The sequence below is a fragment of the Homo sapiens genome, chromosome 7 (genome assembly GCF_000001405.40).
Source record: "Homo sapiens chromosome 7, GRCh38.p14 Primary Assembly".
NCBI lineage: Eukaryota > Metazoa > Chordata > Mammalia > Primates > Hominidae > Homo > Homo sapiens.
In genome coordinates, this window is record NC_000007.14 from 102,459,390 (window position 1) to 102,479,129 (window position 19,740).

The following is a 19,740-nucleotide window of genomic DNA, read 5'->3' on the forward strand; positions in this document are numbered from 1 at the left end:
CACAGGGAGATGGGGTGCCCAGGTGCACCTCTGCCCATCGGACACACGTCCTGCAGCGAGTCTGGCTGCCCACAGCCCCAAGGTCTGGGGAACTCGCCCACTACCAACCCTGGAGGTTTGAGGGGTGTGGCTGCAAGGAGGGGGATGGCCCCCAGCAGTAGGGCTGTCTCCTCAGCGCAGCCCAGCAACCCCCATGAGCTCAGGGCCGGTCTACCTGCTTCCTCCGTCCAGACTGGGAGAGCTTCCAGGGGTCACGGTCCATGAGCCGCACCAACTCGGCTTCTTCCTCCCGGGTCACAAAGTCCTCGATCAGCATCACTCCTGGGAAGGGGAAGGCCCAGCCCTCAAAGTCAGACTCCTCTGTGCCCACGGCCCAGCCGGTGTCGGAGCAGTAAATGAAACGGTATGTTTTCTGCAAAAGAAACACAAGTCCACAGGCTGGGCAACACAGCGAGACCCGGTCCCTACGAAAAGTTAAAACAGGCCAGGTGCGGTGGCTCACGCCTGTAATTCCAGCACTTTGGGAGGCCGAGGTGGGTGGATCACCTGAGGTCAGGAGTTCAAGACCAGCCTGGCCAACATGGTGAAACCCCATCTCTACTAAAAATACAAAAATTAGCCAGGCATGGTGGCAGGTGCCTGTAATCCCAGCTACTCAGGAGGCTGAAGCTGGAGAATTGCTTAAACCCAGAAGGCAGAGGTTGCAGTGAGCCAAGATGGCACCACTGCACTCCAGCCTGGGCGACAGAGTGAGACTCAAAAAAAAAAAAAAAGTTTAAATAAAAATTAGCCGGGTGTGGCAGAGCGCACTTGTCATTTCAGCTACTCAGGAGGCTGAGGCGGGAGGATCATTTGAGCCCAGGAGGTTGAGGCTACAGTGAGCCATGGTCGCGCTACTGCACTCCAGCCTGGACAACAAAGCAAGACCCTGTCTCAAAAAAAAAAAAAGAAAAAAAAAAAAGGAAAGACACATCCTGGAGCCATGGCAGCCCCTGGCACTTGTGTGCCCTCAGGAGACCCTCTGATGGCTCATTCCTCCCCTCAGGACACTGTGGAAGGCAGCTGGAGTCTAGGGGGAGGTGCAGGCAGAGCCTCTGCCCCAGGCTGACCGGGGAAGGCCCGCAGCCCTCTTGAGCTAACACGAATTTGATTGGTTTCCTTTCTCACTTTCCTCCCCTGTAAAAGAGAAGGGTTTGTACAACATGTTTTTCCTTCTCCATTTTACAAAGGAGGCTCAGCAAAGTTAAGGAACCAGCCCGAGGCTGGACAGCACCTCCTGCACTCCCATCTCCTCAGCTGCTTCCAGGAGGCCCCAAACTGCCTGACTACCTTGAATCTGTGCACCCTAATCTCTTTAGGTCTTTGCTGATGCCACCCCGGTGTCCCAGGGGTTGGCCCGTGCCTATCACCAGCGTGAGGGTCACCTAGGAGGGCAGCCAACTTCCCTACAGAGCTGAGCGTTCAGTTGAGCTCCTCAGTGTCCCAACCTCCCTTCTCCTCACTCTTGTCCTCAGGGCACCTTTCCAGACCCAGCATCACCCCTCAATCCTCATACCCTGGGCTGTCACTCAACTCCCACCCCATGTCCCTCTCTGCTCTGCCACCAACCCCGAGGCCTGGCGGTACTCTAAGGGTTCCCCCATGCTAAAGAAAGTCTAGAAACCAGGCCAGGCACGGTGGCTCACACCTGTAATCCCAACACTTTGGGAGGCCAAGGTGGACTGATCACCTGGGGTCAGGAGTTCAAGACCAGCCTGGCCAACATGGCAAAACCCCGTCTCTATTAAAAATACAAAAACTAGCCGGGCGTCGTGGTGCATGCCTGTAATCCCAGCTACTCAGGTGGCTGAGGCAGGAGAATCCCTTGAACCCGGGAGGTGGAGATTGCAGTGAGCCAAGATCGTGCTAGTGGACACCAGCCTGGGTGACACAGTGAGACCCCATCTTGAAAATAATAATAATACTTTTTGTTTGTTTGTTTGTTTGTTTGAGATGGAGTCTCGCTCTGTCACCAGAACTGGAGTGCAGTGGCACGATCTCGGCTCACTGCAACCTCTACCTCCTGGGTTCAAGCGATTCTCCTGCCTCAACCTCCCGAGTAGCTGGGACTACAGGTGCGCGCCACCATGCCCAGCTAATTTTTTTCTTGTATTTTAGTAGAGACGAGGTTTCACCATGTTGACCAGGATGGTCTTGAACTCCTGACCTTGTGATCCTCCCGCCTTGGCCTCCCAAAGTGCTGGGATTACAGGCGTGAACCACCATGCCCAGCCAATAGTAAATTTTTAAAAAAGAGTTTCGCCAATGAAATAGCCAGTATTTGCATCTGTGGCACTGAACATTTTACATGGATTATCTAGTTTCATCCCCAGGACAGCCCCAAGAGGAAGGTACCATAACTATCATGGGCAGGAGGTGTGGAGGTTCTGGCCGGAGTCACCCAGTGAGGACTTCGGAGGCCACCAGAACTCAGCCCTGGGCTCTGTGGCCTGTCTCCTCTTCCTCTTCCATCTCCAGGCTCCTCACACCCTGGGCTGCCACTCACTGTGGGCCGCTGTCTTTCTCTGTTCTTCCCTCCAGGGACCTCAGCCCCTTCCAATGCTTTACTTCCAGCCACCGACTCCAGCTCAGACCCCTCCTGAGATTGGCACTATCTCCTCCTGCTCCTGGGGCCCTCCCACGGGAAACATTAAAACTGGGAGTCCCCCGTGTGTCGGCTGAGCAGGCTGGACTTGTCCGAAAGGCCATGGAGCGCTCTTGAAGGGTTTTAAAGGAGTGACGAGGTCAAATGTGAATTTTAGAAAGATCTGGAGGGGGGAGGGGCAGATATGAAGGGTGGAGGCTGGAAAGCCAGTGAGGAACTGCCCCAGTGCCCTGAGATCCTGGATACCTCACTCTCCTTGTTCCATAGCCATCGGGTTGGGAAGATGTCACCTCCACATGGCCACTGGAACGGGTCAGACTTTCCGCAATTTTTTTCTTTTCTTTTTTTTTGTTTGAGGCAGGGTCTCGCTCTGTCACTCAGGCTGGAGTGTAGTGGCGCTCACAGCTCACTGCAGCCTTGACCTCCTGGGCTCAGGCAATCCTCCCACCTCAGCCTCCCAAGTAACTGGGACTACAAGCACACACCACCACACCTAGCTAATTTTTAAATTTTTTGTAGAGACAGGGTCTTGCTATGTTGTCCAAGCTGGTCTCAAACTCCTAGACTCAGGCGAGCCTCCTGCCTCAGCCTCCCAAAGGGCTGGGATTATAGGCATGAGCCACCGCACCTGGCCCCTTCCACAAATTAAAACTCTTAAGTTCATTCATATTGTTGTACAGCCGTCACCACCATTCAGAACTTTTTCATCTTGCAAAACTGAAACTCTTTCCCTATTAAACAACAGGTCCCCATCTCCCCTTCCTGAGCCCTTGGCAACAACCCTTCTACTTTCTGTCCCTGTGACTACCCTACGTAGCTCACACAACAGGAATCATGCAGTATTTGTCTTCTGTGACTGCTTCCTTAACTTAGCATCGTGTCCCCAAGGTTCGTCCATGCTGTAACATATGTCAAAATGTCCTTTTTTTTTTTTTTTTTTTTGAGACAGGGTCTCACTATGTTGCCCAAGCTGGAGTGCAGTGGCGTGATCACAGCTCACTGCAGCCTTGACCTCCCAGGCTCAAGCAACCCTCCCACCTCAGCCTCCTGGGTAGCTGGGACTACAGGTACGTGTCACCATGTATGGTTAATTTTTTTGTAGAGGTGGGATTTCACCATGTTGCCCATGCTGGTCTCAAACTCCTGGGCTCTGGCAATCTGCCTGCCTCGGTCTCCCAAAGTGCTGGAATTACAGGTGTGAGCCACTGTGCCCGGCCTGTCCTTCCTTTTTAAGGCTGAATAGTATTCTACTATGTGTATGCACCACATTTTGTGGATCAAGTCATCTCTTTTTTTTTTTTTTTTTTTTTTTTTGAGAAGGAGTCTTGCTCTGTCACCTGAGCTGGAGTGCAGTGGTGCGATCTTGGCTCACTGCAACCTCTGCCTCCTGGGTTCAAGCGATTCTCCTGCCTCAGCCTCCCGAGTAGCTGGGATTACAGATGTGCCTCACCAAGCCCGGCAAGTTTTTGTAATTTTAGTAGAGGCAGGGTTTCGCCATGTTAGCCAGGCAGGTCTCAAACTCCTGACCTCAGGTGATCTGCCCACCTCAGCCTCCCAAAGTGCTGGGATTACAGGCGTGAGCCACTGAACCCGGCCCAGGTATCTTGATAGATGCTTGGTTTGCTTCCATCTTTGGGCTGTCATGAATAATGTCGTGAATATGAACATGGGTGTGCAAATATCTCTTCCAGACCCTGCTTTTAGTTCCTTTGGATATATACCCAGAAGCAGGATTGCGGATCATGGGTAATTCTATGTTTAATTCATGAGGCATGCCATGCTGTTTCCATAGGACCTTGGGCACTTTTACCATGGACGTTGGGGCAGTCTTCACTGGCTTACCAGCCTCCACACCTTCATATCTGCCCGTTCCCTTCCCAGGATCTTTCTAAAATTCACATTTGACTTCATCACTCCTTTAAAACCCTTCAAGAGCTCTCCAGGGCCTTTGGGACAAGTCCAGCCTGCTCAGCTGATGCACCGGGGAGCATCTGTGATCAGACCTCCCCCCCCCCACAACCTCTCCAGCCTCATCTCTCTCACCTGAGGCATCACCAATCCACCTTCCTACCCCACGCAGTTTTCTGGGTTGGAATGCCCTTGCAACCAACCACAGTCCTTCCATGCCAGCCCAAAGGCGCTGAGTTCTTTTTCTTTTTTTATTTATTTTCTTTTTGTGAGACAGAGTCTCGCTCTGTCGCCCAGGCTGAAGTGAGGTGGCTCGATCATAGCTCACTGCAGCCTCCAGCTCCTGGGTTGCAGCGATCCTTGAGTTCCTTTTCGTTAGTTAACTGGAATTCACTGTCTCCTTGCCCATTGCAGTCCACGGCCTTCAGGCACCGTTGGACTGGTATTCAGCACCCTCGATCGACCCTTTCCGTGTCATCTCCCTGCAGGCCCGTGAAGCTCCCAGCGCCAGACCCGAGAGGCTACGTCGAGGTTTACAGGCAGATCCCCCCAGAGTCCCCGAGGTGACCTGTAATCGAACCCACCCACGTTCCAGCTCCTTCCCCACTCCCAAGCCCGCTCCTTAAAGCCCTCATCTCCTCACCCTGCATCACCCCTACCGTAAGGGTCCCTCACAGGCTTCGATCCCGGCCCCTATCATGGCCAAGCTGGACCTCAGTTTCCCCAGATGCAGAGCGACGTTTGTGGGCGCGGCCCCTCTCCCACCCCTTACCGCTGGGGGCAGCTCCCAGGGCGGGTCACTGCCGCGCTGCCGCTCGCAGATCAGACAGGTCCGGATGCCCTTGCAACCGCATTCCCGAAGGACTTCGGGGGTCTCGGCGGCAGCCGCCGCCATCGCGCCGTCCGCGTGGCCAGTGCGCAGGCGCGGCCGTGGGGGCCGCTGGGAGTTGTAGTCCGCGCCGGGCGGGGGCACGAGGCCTGGGTTCCGCTTCCTTCCGGTCGTTAACGCCCACGGGCTCGCGCGGCGCCGCCTCCTGGGCTCAGTTACCGCGGACGCCAGTGCCGGGCTCCAGGAGACGCAGGGCGACGCCACACGCCGGGGTGGCCGACTGGGTCAGCGCGGGCTGCGCCTCCTCGCCATGGGCCCCCTCTCGGCGCGGCTGCTAATGCAGCGCGGGCGCCCCAAGAGCGACCGGCTGGGGAAGATCCGGAGTCTGGAGTAAGAGCCGGGCAGCGGGTGAGGCTGTGTCCTCGGGGCCGGGCGGTCGGGGAGAAGAGCGGGGACCCTCCCCAACGGCCCGCTTGTCCCCGTTATCGCCCTCTGGGTTCGGCAGAGTGGTCCAAATGTCTTCTTGTTGGGAGATCGTGGCCCCACCCGCTCGCCGGGAGCCCCGAGGGGCCTCATCCCCTGAAGGGAGCCCGGACAGTTAGGGGCACAGCCTGCCGCTATCGTTAGAGGGCCTGGGAAGCACAGACGAGCCCCCGAAGGATCAGGAAGAGCATCCTAGAGGGGGCTAGGATGCCCCCGAGTCCTAAAGTAGTTGCAGCTTTTTTTTTTTTTTTTTTTTTTTTTTTTTTTTTTTTGTTAAGTGGTGTGGAGTCGGGAGTAGTGGCGCGCGCTTCTAGTCCCAGCTACTCGAGAGGCTGAGGCGGGAGGATCCCTCAGCCCAGGAGTTGGAGGCAGCTGTGAGCTATGATCGCGCCTAGGCGACTGAGTGACACCCCGTCTCTAAAAATAAAGTAACGGGGGGATGGGCGGGGCGGCTACACTTGTACGAGAAATGTCAGGTGAAAAAGCCTTCTGAGGTACCCGGGGCAGATTGGTGTAGGGTGCAAAGCCTGCCCGCCCCCTAAGCCTTCTGCCCCCAACTCCAGCCTGTCAGGATTGGAGCTGCTTTCCGAGCACCTGGACCCCAAACTCCTGTGCCGCCTGACGCAGCTGCAGGAGCTTGACCTGTCTAACAACCACCTGGAGACGCTGCCGGACAACCTGGGCCTGTCCCACCTGCGTGTCCTCCGCTGCGCCAACAACCAGCTGGGGGATGTTACTGCCTTGTGCCAGTTCCCCAAGCTCGAGGAACTCAGCCTGGAGGGCAACCCCTTCCTGACGGTAAGTGGGAGCCTCCCACCAGCTTCATACCTGGGGCCAGGACTCTGTTGGGCTCAGGCTCAGCATCTCCTGAGCCACTGCTCTTCACCCTCTCTTCCCCAGGTCAATGACAACCTGAAAGTCTCCTTTCTCCTGCCCACGCTCCGTAAGGTCAATGGCAAGGATGCGTCCTCAACTTACTCTCAGGTGGAGAACCTGAATCGGGAGCTGACCAGCAGGGTAAGGGGATGAGAGGATTATTGTGTGCTTAGGAGCTGTGGGGGCATTGGGAGAATGATAGAATTGGACATCAGGAGGATGTTGAGGAGGGTGACTGATAGAGGCTCTTTGCCCCAACAGCCCCTAGCCTGATGTGCTACTTTATTTATTTATTTATTTTTTGAGATGGAGTCTCACTCCGTCGCCCAGGCTGGAGTGCAGTGATGCGATCTTGGCTCATTGCAACCTCTGCCTCCCAGGTTCAAGTGATTTTCCTGCCTCAGCCTCCCGAGTAACTAGGATTACAAGCACCTGCCACCATGCCCAGCTAATTTTTTTTGTATTTTTAGTAGAGACAGGGTTTCACCATGTTGGCCAGGCTGGCCTCAAACTCCTGGCCTTAGGTGATCTGCCCGCCTTGGCCTCCCAAAGTGTCGGGATTACAGGTATGAGTCACCACACCCGGCCTGACTCTTCTAAGTAGCTTTTTCTGGGGTGTTTCTTTTTTACCTTTTTTTTTTTTTTTTTTTTTTTTTTTTTTTTTTTTTAGAGACAGGGTCTCGCTCTGCTGCCCATGTTGAAGTGCAGTGGTGTGATCGTATCTCACTGCAGCCTCCAACTCCTGGGCTCAAGCGATCTTCCCGCCTTAGCCTTCTGAATAGCTGGGGCTTTAGGCGCATGCCACCACGTCTGGATCATTTTAAAATTTTTTGTAGAGATGGGATCTTGCTCTGTTCCCCAGGCTCCAACTCCTGGCCTCAAGCGATGCTTCTTCCTCAGCCTCCCAGTGGCTGGGACTATAGGCACCTGGGTTGTTGCTGGTGTGTGTGTGTGTGTGTGTGTGTGTAGGCACCTGGGTTGTTGCTGGGGTGTGTGTGTGTGTGTGTGTAGGCACCTGGGTTGTTGCTGGGGTGTGTGTGGGGTGTGTGTGTGTGTGTGTGTGTGTGTGTGTGTGTGTGTGTGTGTTTTATGAGGCTGTGATTCCAGGAGGCTTCCAGCAGGTGGCGGGATTGAGATTCCCTGAGATGGAGGGCTGGGTCCGGAGGAGCTGGGGTGGGCCGGGCCTGGATCTGGTCCCTCTTGCACCAGGTCACAGCTCACTGGGAGAAGTTCATGGCCACACTGGGTCCTGAAGAGGAGGCTGAGAAGGCCCAGGCGGACTTTGTGAAGTCGGCTGTCAGGGATGTCCGCTACGGGCCCGAGTCCCTCAGCGAGTTCACCCAGTGGCGGGTATGTCCCTGTCCCAATGTGCAGGGAGTCACTGGCTCTCGTATCTCTAGCTGCCTGGAGGTCCCTGGCCATGAAGGGCTGAGGGGCTGTGGGAGTGGGGTGAGTCAGGGTGGGCAGCCCTGTTGGCTGGAGAGGCCCTTCCCCAACTCTGGAAGCATAAGCTCCCCCTGACTATGCATCGGCAGGGCTGGGGGCACCTGGGACTCTGCCCAGCTTCCTGATGGCCTGGCCCCACCCAGGTGCGGATGATCTCTGAGGAGCTGGTGGCCGCCAGTAGGACCCAGGTGCAAAAGGCTAACAGCCCAGAGAAGCCCCCAGAAGCTGGAGCTGCCCACAAGCCCAGGGTGAGTGCAGCTCCCAGGGCTCTGAGGCCAGCCCAGTCCCTCCTCCCTGGAGAAGCTTCAGGAGACCAAGGCGTCCTGGGCATGTGCCCAGGAAGCACCCCAGGTCCTGGCTCACTCCCTAGGTGACCCCGGGCCAGCCTGGGCCTCCTGCATCCGCAGTGAGGTGGGGTCCAGCCTGTGATGGGGAGGAAGGAAGCCCCAGGCAGACAGGCCCATGGTCACAAGGCCCCCTCCACAGGCCAGACTGGCGGCCTTGAAACGGCCAGACGACGTCCCACTCAGCCTCTCTCCCAGCAAGCGGGCGTGTGCCTCCCCGTCGGCCCAGGTGGAGGGCAGCCCTGTGGCAGGCTCCGATGGCAGCCAGGTGAGCTGAGGTGGCAAGGAGCAGGTGGCAGATGAGTCGGGGCTGGGCAGCTGTGACCCTTCTCTCCCCCCACAGCCTGCTGTGAAGCTGGAGCCCCTGCACTTCCTGCAGTGCCACAGCAAGAACAACAGCCCCCAGGACCTCGAGACCCAGCTGTGGGCCTGTGCCTTCGAGCCGGCCTGGGAGGAGGGTACATGGTGGCGGGCAGGCGGGGCAAGGGCCGCTGGAAATAGGGCCGCCTGGATGGGTGGGGGATCAGGAGACAGAGCTTAAAAGGCGCCATCAAGGCTGGGAGGAGGAGGCTGCAGGGAGGACCTAGATGGGAAATGTCTCTGCTCATCCGACCTCTCAAAACCGGGCACTCAGGGGCCACATCCCAGACCGTGGCCACGTGCGGCGGGGAGGCTGTGTGCGTAATTGATTGCCAGACGGGCATCGTGCTCCACAAGTACAAGGCACCCGGCGAGGTGAGTGCAAGGCCCTGTCCCTGCTGGGCAAGGGTGCCCGACTGACTCCTGAACAGCAGCATGGGGATGGATGCAGGCTCGGCCCCCTGCCCCATGGCCTTTTTCTTTCATGCTGGGGCTCCCTCCCCCAGGCCCGGGCTACCCGCGTGTTCACACCAATAGCTCTGCCCCAGTGACTGTTTACTCTAACCCCCGCCCAGGAGTTCTTTTCTGTGGCCTGGACCGCTCTGATGGTGGTCACACAGGCTGGCCACAAGAAGCGCTGGAGTGTGCTGGCGGCTGCAGGCCTACGGGGCCTGGTCCGGCTGCTGCACGTGCGTGCCGGCTTCTGCTGCGGGGTCATCCGAGCCCACAAGAAGGCCATCGCCACCCTGTGCTTCAGCCCCGCCCACGAGACCCATCTCTTCAGTAAGCCCCTCCCCTTCACCCCTGGGACCCCCAAGCACCCCTGTCCTGCTGCCCCAGTAGCCTCCACGCTCCCCTCCCTGGGATGGCTGTGAGCTCGGGCGCCTGCCGGGCCCCAGTCTGCACCGCTCCGACTCTAGCTTTGGCAGGAAGCCATGTCGCTTCAACCCTGGCTTTATCCACAGCCTGCTCTGTGGCCTCGGAGTTTTCCAACAGCCTGGGCCACTCTGTCCCCTGTCAGTGACCTGGGGGGATGCCCCTGCCCCCGGGTGTGGCGCCCCTGTCAAGGGGGATGGATGAGCCACAGGAAGTGGCCGCTGGAGCCACCGCATCAGGTTAGATGGAGGAAACAGGGATTGGGGGCCCAGGAGTGTTCCTGTCTCCTAGCCTCGGCCCGCCCTCCCCGCCTCGGAGGGGCTGGCCTTGGGACCGTGGGCTCAGCCTGGGATGCAGCCAGCAGGAGGGAGCAGGGTCATCTCAGGGCCACTTCTCCCCTACCCCACCCCCTCTTCAGCGGCCTCCTATGACAAGCGGATCATCCTCTGGGACATCGGGGTGCCCAACCAGGACTACGAATTCCAGGCCAGGTGATGCTTCGGGTGAGGCTGGGGAGTGGCCAGCTGCTGGGGCAGGGACACCTCGGTCTGGGTCTGATGCTCTGTTCCCCCTTGCCCACTGGCAGCCAGCTGCTCACACTGGACACCACCTCTATCCCCCTGCGCCTCTGCCCTGTCGCCTCCTGCCCGGACGCCCGCCTGCTGGCCGGCTGCGAGGGCGGCTGCTGCTGCTGGGACGTGCGGCTGGACCAGCCCCAAAAGAGGAGGTGAGGCTGGGCAGGGGGCGCCTTGGAAGCCAGGCCTCTGCAGAGGGTGGCTGTTGGCCCAGATGGGCTCACAGCAGCCTGGGCACACCCGGGTAACCATAAGGGTTGTTTTTAGAGGCCTCTTCGCAGAGCTGGCTTGTCCCACCTTTCTGCCAGGCTCTGGAGGAAAGGACTCTGACCCTGCTCTCACCCTGGGTTCAGCTGTGGGACTGGGCCATGATGACCTCCCCTTCACCTGGGGCTTCAGCACCATGCTGTGCCCACGTGATCCAGCCCACTCCTGCCACTCATCAGCAGTGTGATGGTCCTCTGTGCTGGCATAATGTCCTCATCTGTAAAGAGGGGCCGATGGCTAGCGGAGGGCAGGTGAGGTGGTGTCTGGGCAGGCAGGCTTTGGAAGTGCCACGTTGAGGCTTTCTGGCTCATCTGTCCCACCTGGAAGGCCTCTGAGACAGGGCTTGGCAAGGGGTCCCTGTCCTCTTGGGGCCCCCAGCCTACTGGGGAAGACAGATGCTCAGCAAAGGTGGCCAATCAAAATCCCACAGTGTGATGCCAGCTACGAAGGAGACGGAAAAAGAGTAACGGGCAGAGGGACACTAGCGTGGGGGCCTCAGGGGACTCTGCTGAGGTGACCAGCGGCAGATGGATATTCTGGGGCTCACGCTTTCCTCCCTGGGAGCCTGGTGAGGGAGTCAGCGGGCGGAGGGTGGGGAGGTGCTTGCATGGAGGAAATGGTACGTGCAAAGGTCAGTGGCAGGGGAGCCAGCTGGCCTGCTCCACCATGTGGCCACAGCTGGGTGGACCCAGCCCAGAACAAGGTGGCAAGGGTGCCTGGGCGGGGCACGCCGGGCTTCGTCAGCCACGGTAAGCTTTGCATTTCTATTTATTTACTTTTTATTTGAGATAGAGTCTCCCTCTTGTCACCCAGGCTGGAGTACAGTGGCTCGATCTCGGCTCACTGCAACCTCTGCCGCCAGGTTCCAAGTGATCCTCCTGCCTCAGCCTCCCGAGTAGCTGGGATTACAGGCGCACGCCACCATGCCCGGCTAATTTTCTTTTCTTTGAGATGGAGTTTCACTCTTGTTGCCCAGGCTGGAGTGCAATGACACGATCTCGGCTCACTGCAATTTCCACCCCCCCACCGGGTTCAAGCAATTCTTCTGCCTCAGCCTCCCAAGTAGCTGGAATTACAGGTGCACGCCAACACGCCTGGCTTATTTTTGTATTTTAATAGAGATGGGGTTTCACCATGTTGGCCAGGCTGGTCTCGAACTCCTGACCTCAGGTGATCCACCCGCCTCAGCCTCCCAAAGTGCCAGGATTACAGATGTGAGCCATTGCACCCAGCTGACTTTTGTCTTTTTAATAGAGACGGGGTTTCACCGTGTTGGCCAGGCTGGTCTCGAGCTCCTGACTTCAGGTGATCCACCCACCTCAGCCTCCCAAAGTGCTGGGATTACAGGTGTGAGCCACTGCCCTGGGCCAAGATTTGGATTTTTAGCTTACCTACAACAAACAGCCCAGGAGGAGCTTCGACACAGCAGCTGCTGTGTTGAAAGGAGCAGCAGGGGCCTTGGCGGCAGAGGTGGTGGCGGCGGTAGTTATGGGCTTCTCTTTCTCACCAGCAGCCCCTGGGCCGCCGCCTCCCTCCCTGCCCGTATGTCTGGTCCCTGTGTCTAAGATGCTTCTTCTCTTACCCTCTGCCCAACTGGCTCAGGCCTGGCCCATGGTTAGCTGCTGGGCCACTCTCCTGGCTCCAGGCTAGCCTCCGAGAGTCAGGTAGCTGCCGGGACACTTCTCCAAGCAGACACTCCCACACACTCTCAGCTCTGAACCATGCAGCAGCCATTCCCTCATTCCCCCATTCCCCCGTCTTTTGAGTCAGAGCAGATGCCCCCAACAGCCCCCTGGGCCATGGCCCCCCATTCCCCCGTCTTTTGAGTCAGAGCAGATGCCCCCAACAGCCCCCTGGGCCATGGCCTGGAAACACCTGCTCTACTTGGCTGCCAGGAGGCCCCTGTTCATCTCACACTCGGTCCCAGAGGCACTGGCTCGCTTCAGAGCCTTATCCAACCCCCTGGCCTAGCCCCGTCCTGGAAGAGCCACCCCTCGTGCCTCTGGGTCACTACTGTGACTCGGGACACTCAGGTGCTGGCTCCCCCTTCCAGGGCAAACTGAACCTTCCTGGGGCCAAGAATGTATCTCTTTGGTGGCATCTTCTGTGCAGCCTTCACACAGGGCAGGGTCCCCAGCAGGTGCGCTGCAGATGCCTGGGTGAGTGGGCAGCTCTCTATCTGCAAGGAATGGCCAACTAGCATCTCGTGCTGCCCCACAGGGTGTGTGAAGTGGAATTCGTCTTCTCTGAGGGCTCCGAGGCATCTGGACGGAGAGTGGATGGGCTGGCATTTGTGAATGAGGACATCGTGGGTGAGTGAGCTCAGCTTGTGGGACAGCCTGGCCTCCGGGCACACAGATGGACCGCTTGTCCCTGGGCTAGGCTTCTGAGGATCTCTAGTGGGAGAAGGTGTCTGGGAGGGGCCACCCTGCACAGCTCTCCCTTCTCCCCCACAGCCTCCAAGGGGAGCGGCCTGGGCACCATCTGCCTGTGGAGCTGGAGGCAGACGTGGGGGGGCCGGGGCAGCCAGTCCACGGTGGCAGTGGTGGTCCTGGCGCGGCTGCAATGGTCGTCCACCGAGTTGGCCTACTTCTCGCTCAGCGCCTGCCCTGGTGAGCCTGCCCCCCTGCCCGCCCCATCCCGCGGGCTTCCGGGAGCTCTGCCCCCACTCAGACTCCACCTCTGTCCCGGCAGATAAGGGGATTGTGCTCTGTGGGGATGAGGAGGGCAACGTGTGGCTCTACGACGTCAGCAACATCCTGAAGCAGCCACCCCTGCTGCCGGCAGCCCTGCAGGCCCCCACACAGGTACTGCCCGGCTCACCCTGCCCAGGCTTGGGCTGGCAAGGCATCAGGGGCCCTGCCTTTGGTCAGCAGGAGCCCAGCCCAGCCCTCCCCTCTCTCCCCACCAGATCCTGAAGTGGCCCCAGCCCTGGGCCCTTGGCCAGGTGGTGACCAAGACCATGGTGAACACAGTGGTGGCCAATGCCTCCTTCACCTACCTCACCGCCCTGACGGACTCCAACATCGTAGCCATCTGGGGGAGGATGTAGCCTCACACCATCGCAAAGGACCAGGGACACAGCTAACTAACTTATTCAGCTTTGGGCCGATGGGGGTGGGGGGGGGTCTTTCAGTGAATATTTTTATTAAACTCTACTGTGGACAAGAAGCCTGTGGAAAGGTGTTTCGAGTTATGCAGGAAGAAGTGTTCCTGCTTTGACTGACAGGCAGGCCCAGGAGTTGAGGCTTCTAGAGCAGAGACTCTTGGGAGCTCATGGGTTTGCACACTTCTCTCCGGCTCAGCACAGCCCCCGCAGCAGCCCCTGGACCCCGGATCTTTGGTCCAGAATGAATTCATCCCTGCCAGCCGGACGCCCCTGAAACAGGTCATCTGCCTGCATCAAGCCTGACAATCCATTTGCTTGCGAAGTCACCGCTGCTCAAGTCCACATCCAGGTCTCTCCCGCTATACTTTATTAGGAATATAAAACCTAATCTATGTACAGGACACGTCGGTGTCAGGGTGAGGGGTGGCCACAAGGCGGGCCATGGCTGGGACCGGCCGCTCTCCTCGGTGTGGTACCTGGAGCGGAGGGTCAGGCACAGGTAGGAACGGGGCTCACAGGCCGAGCAGAGCCCCCTCTGGCCCCTACTCAATTCCTTCCTGCTTGTCTTTTATGGCCACCTGGGAGAGAAGAAGGTGGTGGAGACTGAGCTGGAACAGCTGGGGCAAGGACGCTGGAAACACATGCCCAGCATCCCCCCCGCCAGGCCCTTCCTGGAGGGCAGCCATGGGCCACACTCCCCAGGACAGTGGAGCAGCCAAAGGGCCCTCCCAGCTGGCCCAATCCAGCCATTCTCTATGGCAGCCCCGGCAGGAGTCAGAGGCCCCAGAGGCTTCCTGGTGAGCAGACGACTCAGACGTTGAAATCCCCCAAGCTGTGGCTCTTTCCCCTCTAAACTGTTCTAGATTCCCATGCGCCCTGCCAGGAACAGGTGTGGGCCACCCGGGGGTGAGCTGCCTCCCAGAGACCTGGAAGGACCAGGCCTTGCCAATCACCAACAAGGGACGTAGAAGAGCACCCCCAAAGGACAGTAGGTCCCCGCCCCGATCTGGCCCACAGCACCCGAGGGACCCTGCAGCACTACAGAAGTCCCATGGGGCAGACGGGAGCCACAGGCCCAGACTCCACAGCCCCTCAGTCCACATGTCCTGGAGCCTGTGGTGGAAGTCCCTGCTCTTCCATCACTGCCGCCTCTCCCCCAGGACCTCCGAAGAAACAGGCCAGGGCTGTCCCAGGCCTGGGCACACGGGCCAGTGTCCAGCCCACCCCGTCTGCCCCTCCAGGCCCCGCCCTCACCCGAAAGCGCTCCTCCAGCAGGGACAGCTCACTGATGAGGTCGGTGATGGCGTTGGTAAAGGCTTCCTGGGGGCTGTAGTCCGGCGTGGTCTGCACTCGGATGATGATCTTGTGCTCCAAGGGGTGGGGGACTTTGTAGCCAGCAAATAGCACTTGCGGGTCTTTTAGGAGTTGTCTGAGGTCAGGGACAGACAGTGTGAGGGTCTAGCCTCATGCCCAAGCTGGGTAGCAGCCAGCTCAGAGCAGAAGAACAGACTTTCTAGCCAAAAATCCCCCCCAACTTTTTTCCCAAAAAGTCTTCAAGGAAAGTAACACTTTTAGGAAGATACCTCATGTGGGGACACCCTATCCCCGCCACACACACACACTCTGCATCCATGAGGTTGAAGGACCCGAGCTGGAAACAGATTCCAGCAACCTCTTCCCACCGGGCACCGCAGTGCTGGCAAAGAGATCTCCCAGGCAGTGAATGTCCAGCCAGTGTTCAGTGACTCAGACCCAAAAAGCCCACAAAGAGCCTCCACGCAGCAAATAAAGGCAGCAGGAGAGGAGGGCCAGCTGCCGGCAGTGAGTGGAATGCAAATGGAACTCTGCCCTCCGAGCAGCACAGCTGCCAGCGGCTGGCCACGCACACTGGGCCTTGTGCCATGGGGCTGCGTCGCGTACTGTGCCCTGGGCACGCAGGGGTCTCCTCTAGAGCGGCTCAGAGTGGCGTGAGCACCACAAGGGGGACCCGTGCATAGGTGGCAACACTGAGCTCAAGAGCAGGGGAGCAGCAGGGCCCCAGGAGAGCTTGGGTGCCCCACTGGCTGGGCTCCGGGCAGGAGTCCTCCATCCCTGCGCCTGCCCACACCAGGAGACTGGGCAGACCCCACTCACAGACGGGGAAAAGCCTGGCTTCGCTGGTGGCACCAGAGGGAAGAGCCAAGTCTACAGTAAAATGACAAGTCCCTGGGCCAGAATGGCAGACACATCCCTGACCAACCACCTGGCTAGGACCTCACTGGTATAAACAAACACCCACCAACCAATGCAGGGTGCCCATTAGGGGCACTGGATAGCCACAGAACTCCTACTTCTTTCTCTTGTTAAATAGAAGTTCTAGTCTCTGCCACATACATCTTAGAGGCCCAGGTGGCACTGAGGTCACAAACGGGTGGCATGAGGGGAGCTAATCTTGACTGCTTTTCAATGCCCCTCAGCATGAATAACACACAGGCCTACTGTGCTGGAATCTGCTGCTCGTTCATTTACAGAATGTGCACTTAATGGTGAATGTAAGGCCGGGCGCAGTAGCTCACGTCTCTAATCCCAGCACTTTGGGAAGCCGGCAGGTGGATCACCTGAGGTCAGGAGTTCGAGACCAGCCTGGCCAACACAGTGAATCCCCATCTCTACTAAAAACACAAAAATTAGCCGGGCATCGTGGCGTGGGCCTGTAGTCCCAGCTACTAGGAAGGCTGAAGCAGGAGAATCACTTGAACCCGGGAGGCGGAGGTTGCAGTGAGCAAGATCGTGCCATTGCACTCCAGCCTGGGCAACAAAGAGAGAAAATTCCATCTCAAAAACAAACAAACAAACAGTGAATGTAAATGCACATGTTCATCTACAGAATAAGCCACTACAGAAGTGTGGCTTATGTGAAGACATGGAGGTCGGTGTCATTTTGATAAAAAGGTACCAAGATTATAAAATGCCCAGAGCAAGCCCCCAGAAGGACTTCCTGTAGCTCAGAGAGACTGAGGAAGACTTGGAACTTGTGCTTTGCCCAGGGGGGCCCATTAAACACAGCCCCTGAGAGCCTGTGACGGGAAACTTACGATTTAATGATGTTTCCCAGTGTGTGGTCTTCTTTGTTGATGGTGAATAAACAGGCATTGGGTACCTTGGTGTCCTTGTTAATGGTGATCCTAGGAAGACACAGAGGCCACAGATGAGGAGCAGGGGCTCCCCTCCTCCCACCCTGAGTCTAAACCCTGTCTCCTCCCGGCCAGGTGTGGTGGCTCGTGCCTGTAATCCCAACACTTTGGGAGGCTGAGGTGGATGGATGACCTGAGGTCAGAAGTTCAAGACCAGCCTGCCCAACATGGCAAAACCCTGCCTGTACTAAAAATACAAAGAAAAAAAAAATTAGCTGAGTGTGGTGATCCATGCCTGTAGTCCTAGCTACTTGGGAGACTGAGGCAGGAGAATCACTTGAACCTGGGAGGTGGAGTTGCAGTGAGCCGAGATCATGCCACTGCACTCCAGCCTGGGCAACAGAGTGGAACTCTGTATCAAAAATATAAAAATAAAAAGGAAAAATAAGCTCTGCCTCTTCCTGAAGGCCTTTCTCAATCTCTTCATCCCATAAAGGCCTCGCCAACCCGGTCCCCTACTTCCTGCTACCCCAGGTCTATGGAACCTTGGCCTTTTCTGAATTCCTCCTTTTTTTTTTCCGGTAGAGATGGGGTTTTGCCTTGTTGTCCTCGCTGGTCTTGAACTCCTCGCCTCAAATGATCTCTCCTGCTGCCCAGGCTGGAGTGCAGTGGTGTGATCATAGCTCACTGTAGCCTCCAACTCCTCGGCTAAAGTGATCCTCCCGCCTTAGCCTCCTGAGTAGCTGGGACCACAGGCGCACGTCATCATGCCTGGCCTGTTCCTTTTTTCTTACGCCAACATAATGAAACAACCAAAAGGTGAAGAAGAGAGGCCCTGAAGTTACACGGTGAGGCTGGTCCTGACCCTGTGAGTTCCGAAAGCAACCATCCCCCTGGCTGGAGTGTGCAGTCCTTCCATCCATTCCCCAAAACAAGTCATGCTCTGGCATTTACTATGATTTTAGTGAACGCTTAGATGGACAAAGACAGGAAACTTCCATTGGATTTTCCAAGACAAGGGGTTTTCAGAGTGCAGTTCCCAGATAAGCAGCATCAGAATCCCCTGGGAACTTGTTAAGAGTCTCCCACCTCCCACTTACTGGACCCAGAACTCTGGAGGTGGGGCACAGGGATCTATGGTTTAAGAAGCCCTTCAGGTGATTCTAATGCACACTCAATTTGAGGGCAACTATGCTGACAGTAAAATCTCACACAGGTGAGAGGTATCAAGTTGAATATCCTTTTTTCTAAGGTGGTTTCTCCAGGCTGACACCACACACATTTTAGGGTGCATCATTCTTTCCTGTGGGGTGCTGTCTTGTGGACATTGTAGGACATCAGCAGCATCCCTGACCTCTACCCAGTAGATTCCAGTCATAACCCCCTTTGACAACCAATAATGTTCTGTTATTGCCACATGTCCCTTGTGGGGCCAAATGGTCCCCAGTTGAGAGTCTGCTCTAAAGGAGGCCGAAGTGGCTGGCAAGGGCCAGACCAAGACCTCTGCACGCCAACCTGGGAACAATAAGAGCCAATGGTTACGAGGTTTTCCAGGGGCTGAGCTTTGGACCAAGAGTTTTACACAAATTACCTCATCCAATTCTTTTTATTTTGACACAGGATTGCGCTCAGTCGCCCAGGCTGGAGTGCAGTGATGCGATCAAAGCTCACTGCAGCCTGGAACTCCTGTGCTCAAGCAATCCTCCCACCTGAGCCTCCCAAAGTGCCGGGATTAAAAGCGTGAACCAGCGCACCTGGCCAGATCCCTTTTTTTGTTTTTTGAAACGGAGTTTCGCTCTTGTTGCTCAGGCTGGAGTGCAATGGCGTGATCTCCGCTCACCTCAACCTCCACTTCCCAGGTTCAAGTGATTCTCCTGCCTCAGCCTTCTGAGTAGCTGGGATTACAGGCATCTGCCACCACGCCCGGCTAATTTTGTATTTTTAGTAGAGACAGGGTTTCTCCATGTTGGTCAGGCTGGTCTTGAACTCCCGACCTCAGGTGATCCGCCCGCCTCGGGCTCCCAAAGTGCTGGGATTACAGGTGTCAGCCACCGCACCCGGCCTGAATCCCACGTTTAAGTACAGTAATAAACTCATTTTCCAGATGAGGAAACAGGGCCTCCGACAGATCAAGCCACTCGCCCACAGATACAGAGTGAGCCCAAGCTCTCTCCCCTGGACTCCTTCAACCCGCAGGCAGCGAGGAGCCACTGCGGCTTTTACGCAGGCCGCTGACAGATCGGAGGGGATGAAGGATGGAGGTGGCGGGCGAGAGACAAAAGAGGAAGCTGCCAGATCCCAGAGGAAAAGGGCTATGGAGAACCAGACACTCTGGGTTCGAATACAAGCGCCGCCACTTCCTGTGTCCGGGGCAACTTGCTCGCCTCCAAGCCTCAGTGTCCTCATCTGCAACATGGACACACTCGCGACTGCCTCGCGGAACGGCCTTAAATTTGGCTGACACAGGCCGAGCAGACGATCAAGCAAAAGCTGTTTCCCTCCCGGGGCAAGAGATGGGCAGGAGACACCCCAGAATGCGACAGCCGCAGGCCCGCGCACCTCGGCCCGCCGCAGCCGGCGTCACTTACTTCTTCTCGCCCTCGAAGAGCAAGAACGACTCGAAGGCTGGAGGGGCGTTCATGCTCCCGCCGCCGTTGCGTCCAGACCCCAAGGGTCCGCCGCCGCCGCCACCAGAGCCCTAATAAGAGGCCTCTTCCGGATTACTCCGGCGGGGCAAACCCGCTCAAGGATCGGCTCATCGCCCCCTGTTGGGCTGGAGGATCTTGCGCAGGCGCGAGAAAACCCCGAGAGAGACCAGTGCCTCTGCGCATGCGTCAGTGGCGAGCGCACCGCCCCCCCCCCCGCCCCCGCCACCCCGCACCCCGCCCCCCGGCATGGCTTTCCCCGTGG

The 19,740-nt window shown here is 57.5% G+C and overlaps 3 protein-coding genes and 2 non-coding genes across 11 annotated transcripts in view, besides 6 other annotated features; 3 read left to right on the forward strand and 2 right to left on the reverse strand.

Annotated features, from left to right (window-relative positions):
* ALKBH4 (alkB homolog 4, lysine demethylase) overlaps window positions 1-5,474 on the reverse strand; it is an 8,626-nt gene extending 3,152 nt beyond the window's left edge. Inside the window, exons 1-2 of one of the 2 annotated variants that reach the window (XM_005250464.4) lie at window positions 5,325-5,474; window positions 215-321 (exon numbers count right to left, since the gene is read on the reverse strand). In XM_005250464.4, the coding sequence (XP_005250521.1) occupies window positions 215-316 (102 nt within the window). In that variant the 5' untranslated portion in view covers window positions 317-321; window positions 5,325-5,474. Of the gene's footprint in view, window positions 1-214; window positions 413-5,324 lie in introns of both variants that reach the window. The other variant, NM_017621.4, reaches the window with a different exon arrangement.
* Window positions 5,217-5,866: an enhancer, noted in NCBI's record as "H3K27ac-H3K4me1 hESC enhancer chr7:102105053-102105702 (GRCh37/hg19 assembly coordinates)". NCBI's record gives its function as "activates a minimal SCP1, AML or CMV promoter by ChIP-STARR-seq in naive and primed H9 embryonic stem cells {active_cell/tissue: H9 hESC(naive and primed)}" and the evidence as "EXISTENCE:reporter gene assay evidence [ECO:0000049][PMID:30033119]".
* Window positions 5,376-5,805: a silencer, noted in NCBI's record as "silent region_18506". NCBI's record gives its function as "represses an Ori minimal core promoter by ATAC-STARR-seq in GM12878 lymphoblastoid cells {active_cell/tissue: GM12878}" and the evidence as "EXISTENCE:reporter gene assay evidence [ECO:0000049][PMID:35858748]".
* Window positions 5,595-13,779, forward strand: LRWD1 (leucine rich repeats and WD repeat domain containing 1). Of its 2 annotated transcripts, none has more exons than NM_001317721.2 (15): window positions 5,595-5,789; window positions 6,428-6,662; window positions 6,765-6,881; window positions 7,950-8,090; window positions 8,330-8,434; window positions 8,673-8,798; window positions 8,874-8,988; window positions 9,165-9,265; window positions 9,466-9,673; window positions 10,185-10,257; window positions 10,353-10,493; window positions 12,829-12,920; window positions 13,065-13,220; window positions 13,303-13,415; window positions 13,520-13,779. In NM_001317721.2, exons 4-15 carry the CDS (start codon window positions 7,974-7,976, stop codon window positions 13,658-13,660), a joined length of 1,488 nt encoding a protein of 495 aa, NP_001304650.1. In that variant the 5' UTR covers window positions 5,595-5,789; window positions 6,428-6,662; window positions 6,765-6,881; window positions 7,950-7,973; the 3' UTR covers window positions 13,661-13,779. The 2 variants fall into 2 exon arrangements, with proteins under 2 accessions (NP_001304650.1, NP_690852.1); NM_152892.3 differs by having other exon boundaries at window positions 5,595-5,771.
* Window positions 5,996-6,522: an enhancer, noted in NCBI's record as "H3K27ac-H3K4me1 hESC enhancer chr7:102105832-102106358 (GRCh37/hg19 assembly coordinates)". NCBI's record gives its function as "activates a minimal SCP1, AML or CMV promoter by ChIP-STARR-seq in primed H9 embryonic stem cells {active_cell/tissue: H9 hESC(primed)}" and the evidence as "EXISTENCE:reporter gene assay evidence [ECO:0000049][PMID:30033119]".
* Window positions 6,146-6,245: an enhancer, noted in NCBI's record as "active region_26436". NCBI's record gives its function as "activates an Ori minimal core promoter by ATAC-STARR-seq in GM12878 lymphoblastoid cells {active_cell/tissue: GM12878}" and the evidence as "EXISTENCE:reporter gene assay evidence [ECO:0000049][PMID:35858748]".
* On the forward strand, window positions 6,353-6,437 carry MIR5090 (microRNA 5090). Its single transcript, NR_049813.1, has one exon. It is a non-coding gene; the product is annotated as a microRNA 5090 (primary transcript).
* Window positions 6,523-7,048: an enhancer, noted in NCBI's record as "H3K27ac-H3K4me1 hESC enhancer chr7:102106359-102106884 (GRCh37/hg19 assembly coordinates)". NCBI's record gives its function as "activates a minimal SCP1, AML or CMV promoter by ChIP-STARR-seq in primed H9 embryonic stem cells {active_cell/tissue: H9 hESC(primed)}" and the evidence as "EXISTENCE:reporter gene assay evidence [ECO:0000049][PMID:30033119]".
* Window positions 7,412-7,471: an enhancer, noted in NCBI's record as "active region_26437". NCBI's record gives its function as "activates an Ori minimal core promoter by ATAC-STARR-seq in GM12878 lymphoblastoid cells {active_cell/tissue: GM12878}" and the evidence as "EXISTENCE:reporter gene assay evidence [ECO:0000049][PMID:35858748]".
* MIR4467 (microRNA 4467) lies at window positions 12,080-12,142 on the forward strand. The gene has a single exon (NR_039677.1). It is a non-coding gene; the product is annotated as a microRNA 4467 (primary transcript).
* POLR2J (RNA polymerase II subunit J) lies at window positions 13,739-19,533 on the reverse strand. Of its 5 annotated transcripts, none has more exons than NR_163857.1 (4): window positions 19,390-19,533; window positions 16,792-16,881; window positions 14,972-15,146; window positions 13,739-14,295 (listed from the first exon to the last, which is right to left on the reverse strand). NR_163857.1 is itself a non-coding variant. In XM_017012353.2 (4 exons), exons 1-4 carry the CDS (start codon window positions 19,469-19,471, stop codon window positions 14,260-14,262), a joined length of 351 nt encoding a protein of 116 aa, XP_016867842.1. In that variant the 5' UTR covers window positions 19,472-19,533; the 3' UTR covers window positions 13,739-14,259. The 5 variants fall into 5 exon arrangements, 4 of the variants coding, with proteins under 4 accessions (XP_016867842.1, NP_006225.1, NP_001358029.1 ...); XM_017012353.2 differs by having other exon boundaries at window positions 19,422-19,533; NM_006234.6 differs by having other exon boundaries at window positions 19,419-19,533.
* Between the last annotated feature and the right edge of the window lie 207 nt (window positions 19,534-19,740).

What these genes read in the sequence shown, in the direction of transcription:
- LRWD1 (NM_152892.3), top strand. Translation starts at nt 5,692, where the DNA reads ATGGGCCCCCTCTCGGCGCGGCTGCTAATGCAGCGCGGGCGCCCCAAG. An exon ending in CGAGCCGGCCTGGGAGGAGG is followed by an intron (nt 8,989 to 9,164) that starts GTACATGGTGGC and finishes CCGGGCACTCAG; the next exon opens with GGGCCACATCCCAGACCGTG. An exon ending in CTCGCTCAGCGCCTGCCCTG is followed by an intron (nt 13,221 to 13,302) that starts GTGAGCCTGCCC and finishes CTGTCCCGGCAG; the next exon opens with ATAAGGGGATTGTGCTCTGT.
- POLR2J (NM_001393919.1), bottom strand. Translation starts at nt 19,471, where the DNA reads ATGAACGCCCCTCCAGCCTTCGAGTCGTTCTTGCTCTTCGAGGGCGAG. An exon ending in CTCTTCGAGGGCGAGAAGAA is followed by an intron (nt 16,882 to 19,418) that starts GTAAGTGACGCC and finishes GTGTCTTCCTAG; the next exon opens with GATCACCATTAACAAGGACA. An exon ending in CTGGGAAACATCATTAAATC is followed by an intron (nt 15,147 to 16,791) that starts GTAAGTTTCCCG and finishes CCCTGACCTCAG; the next exon opens with ACAACTCCTAAAAGACCCGC.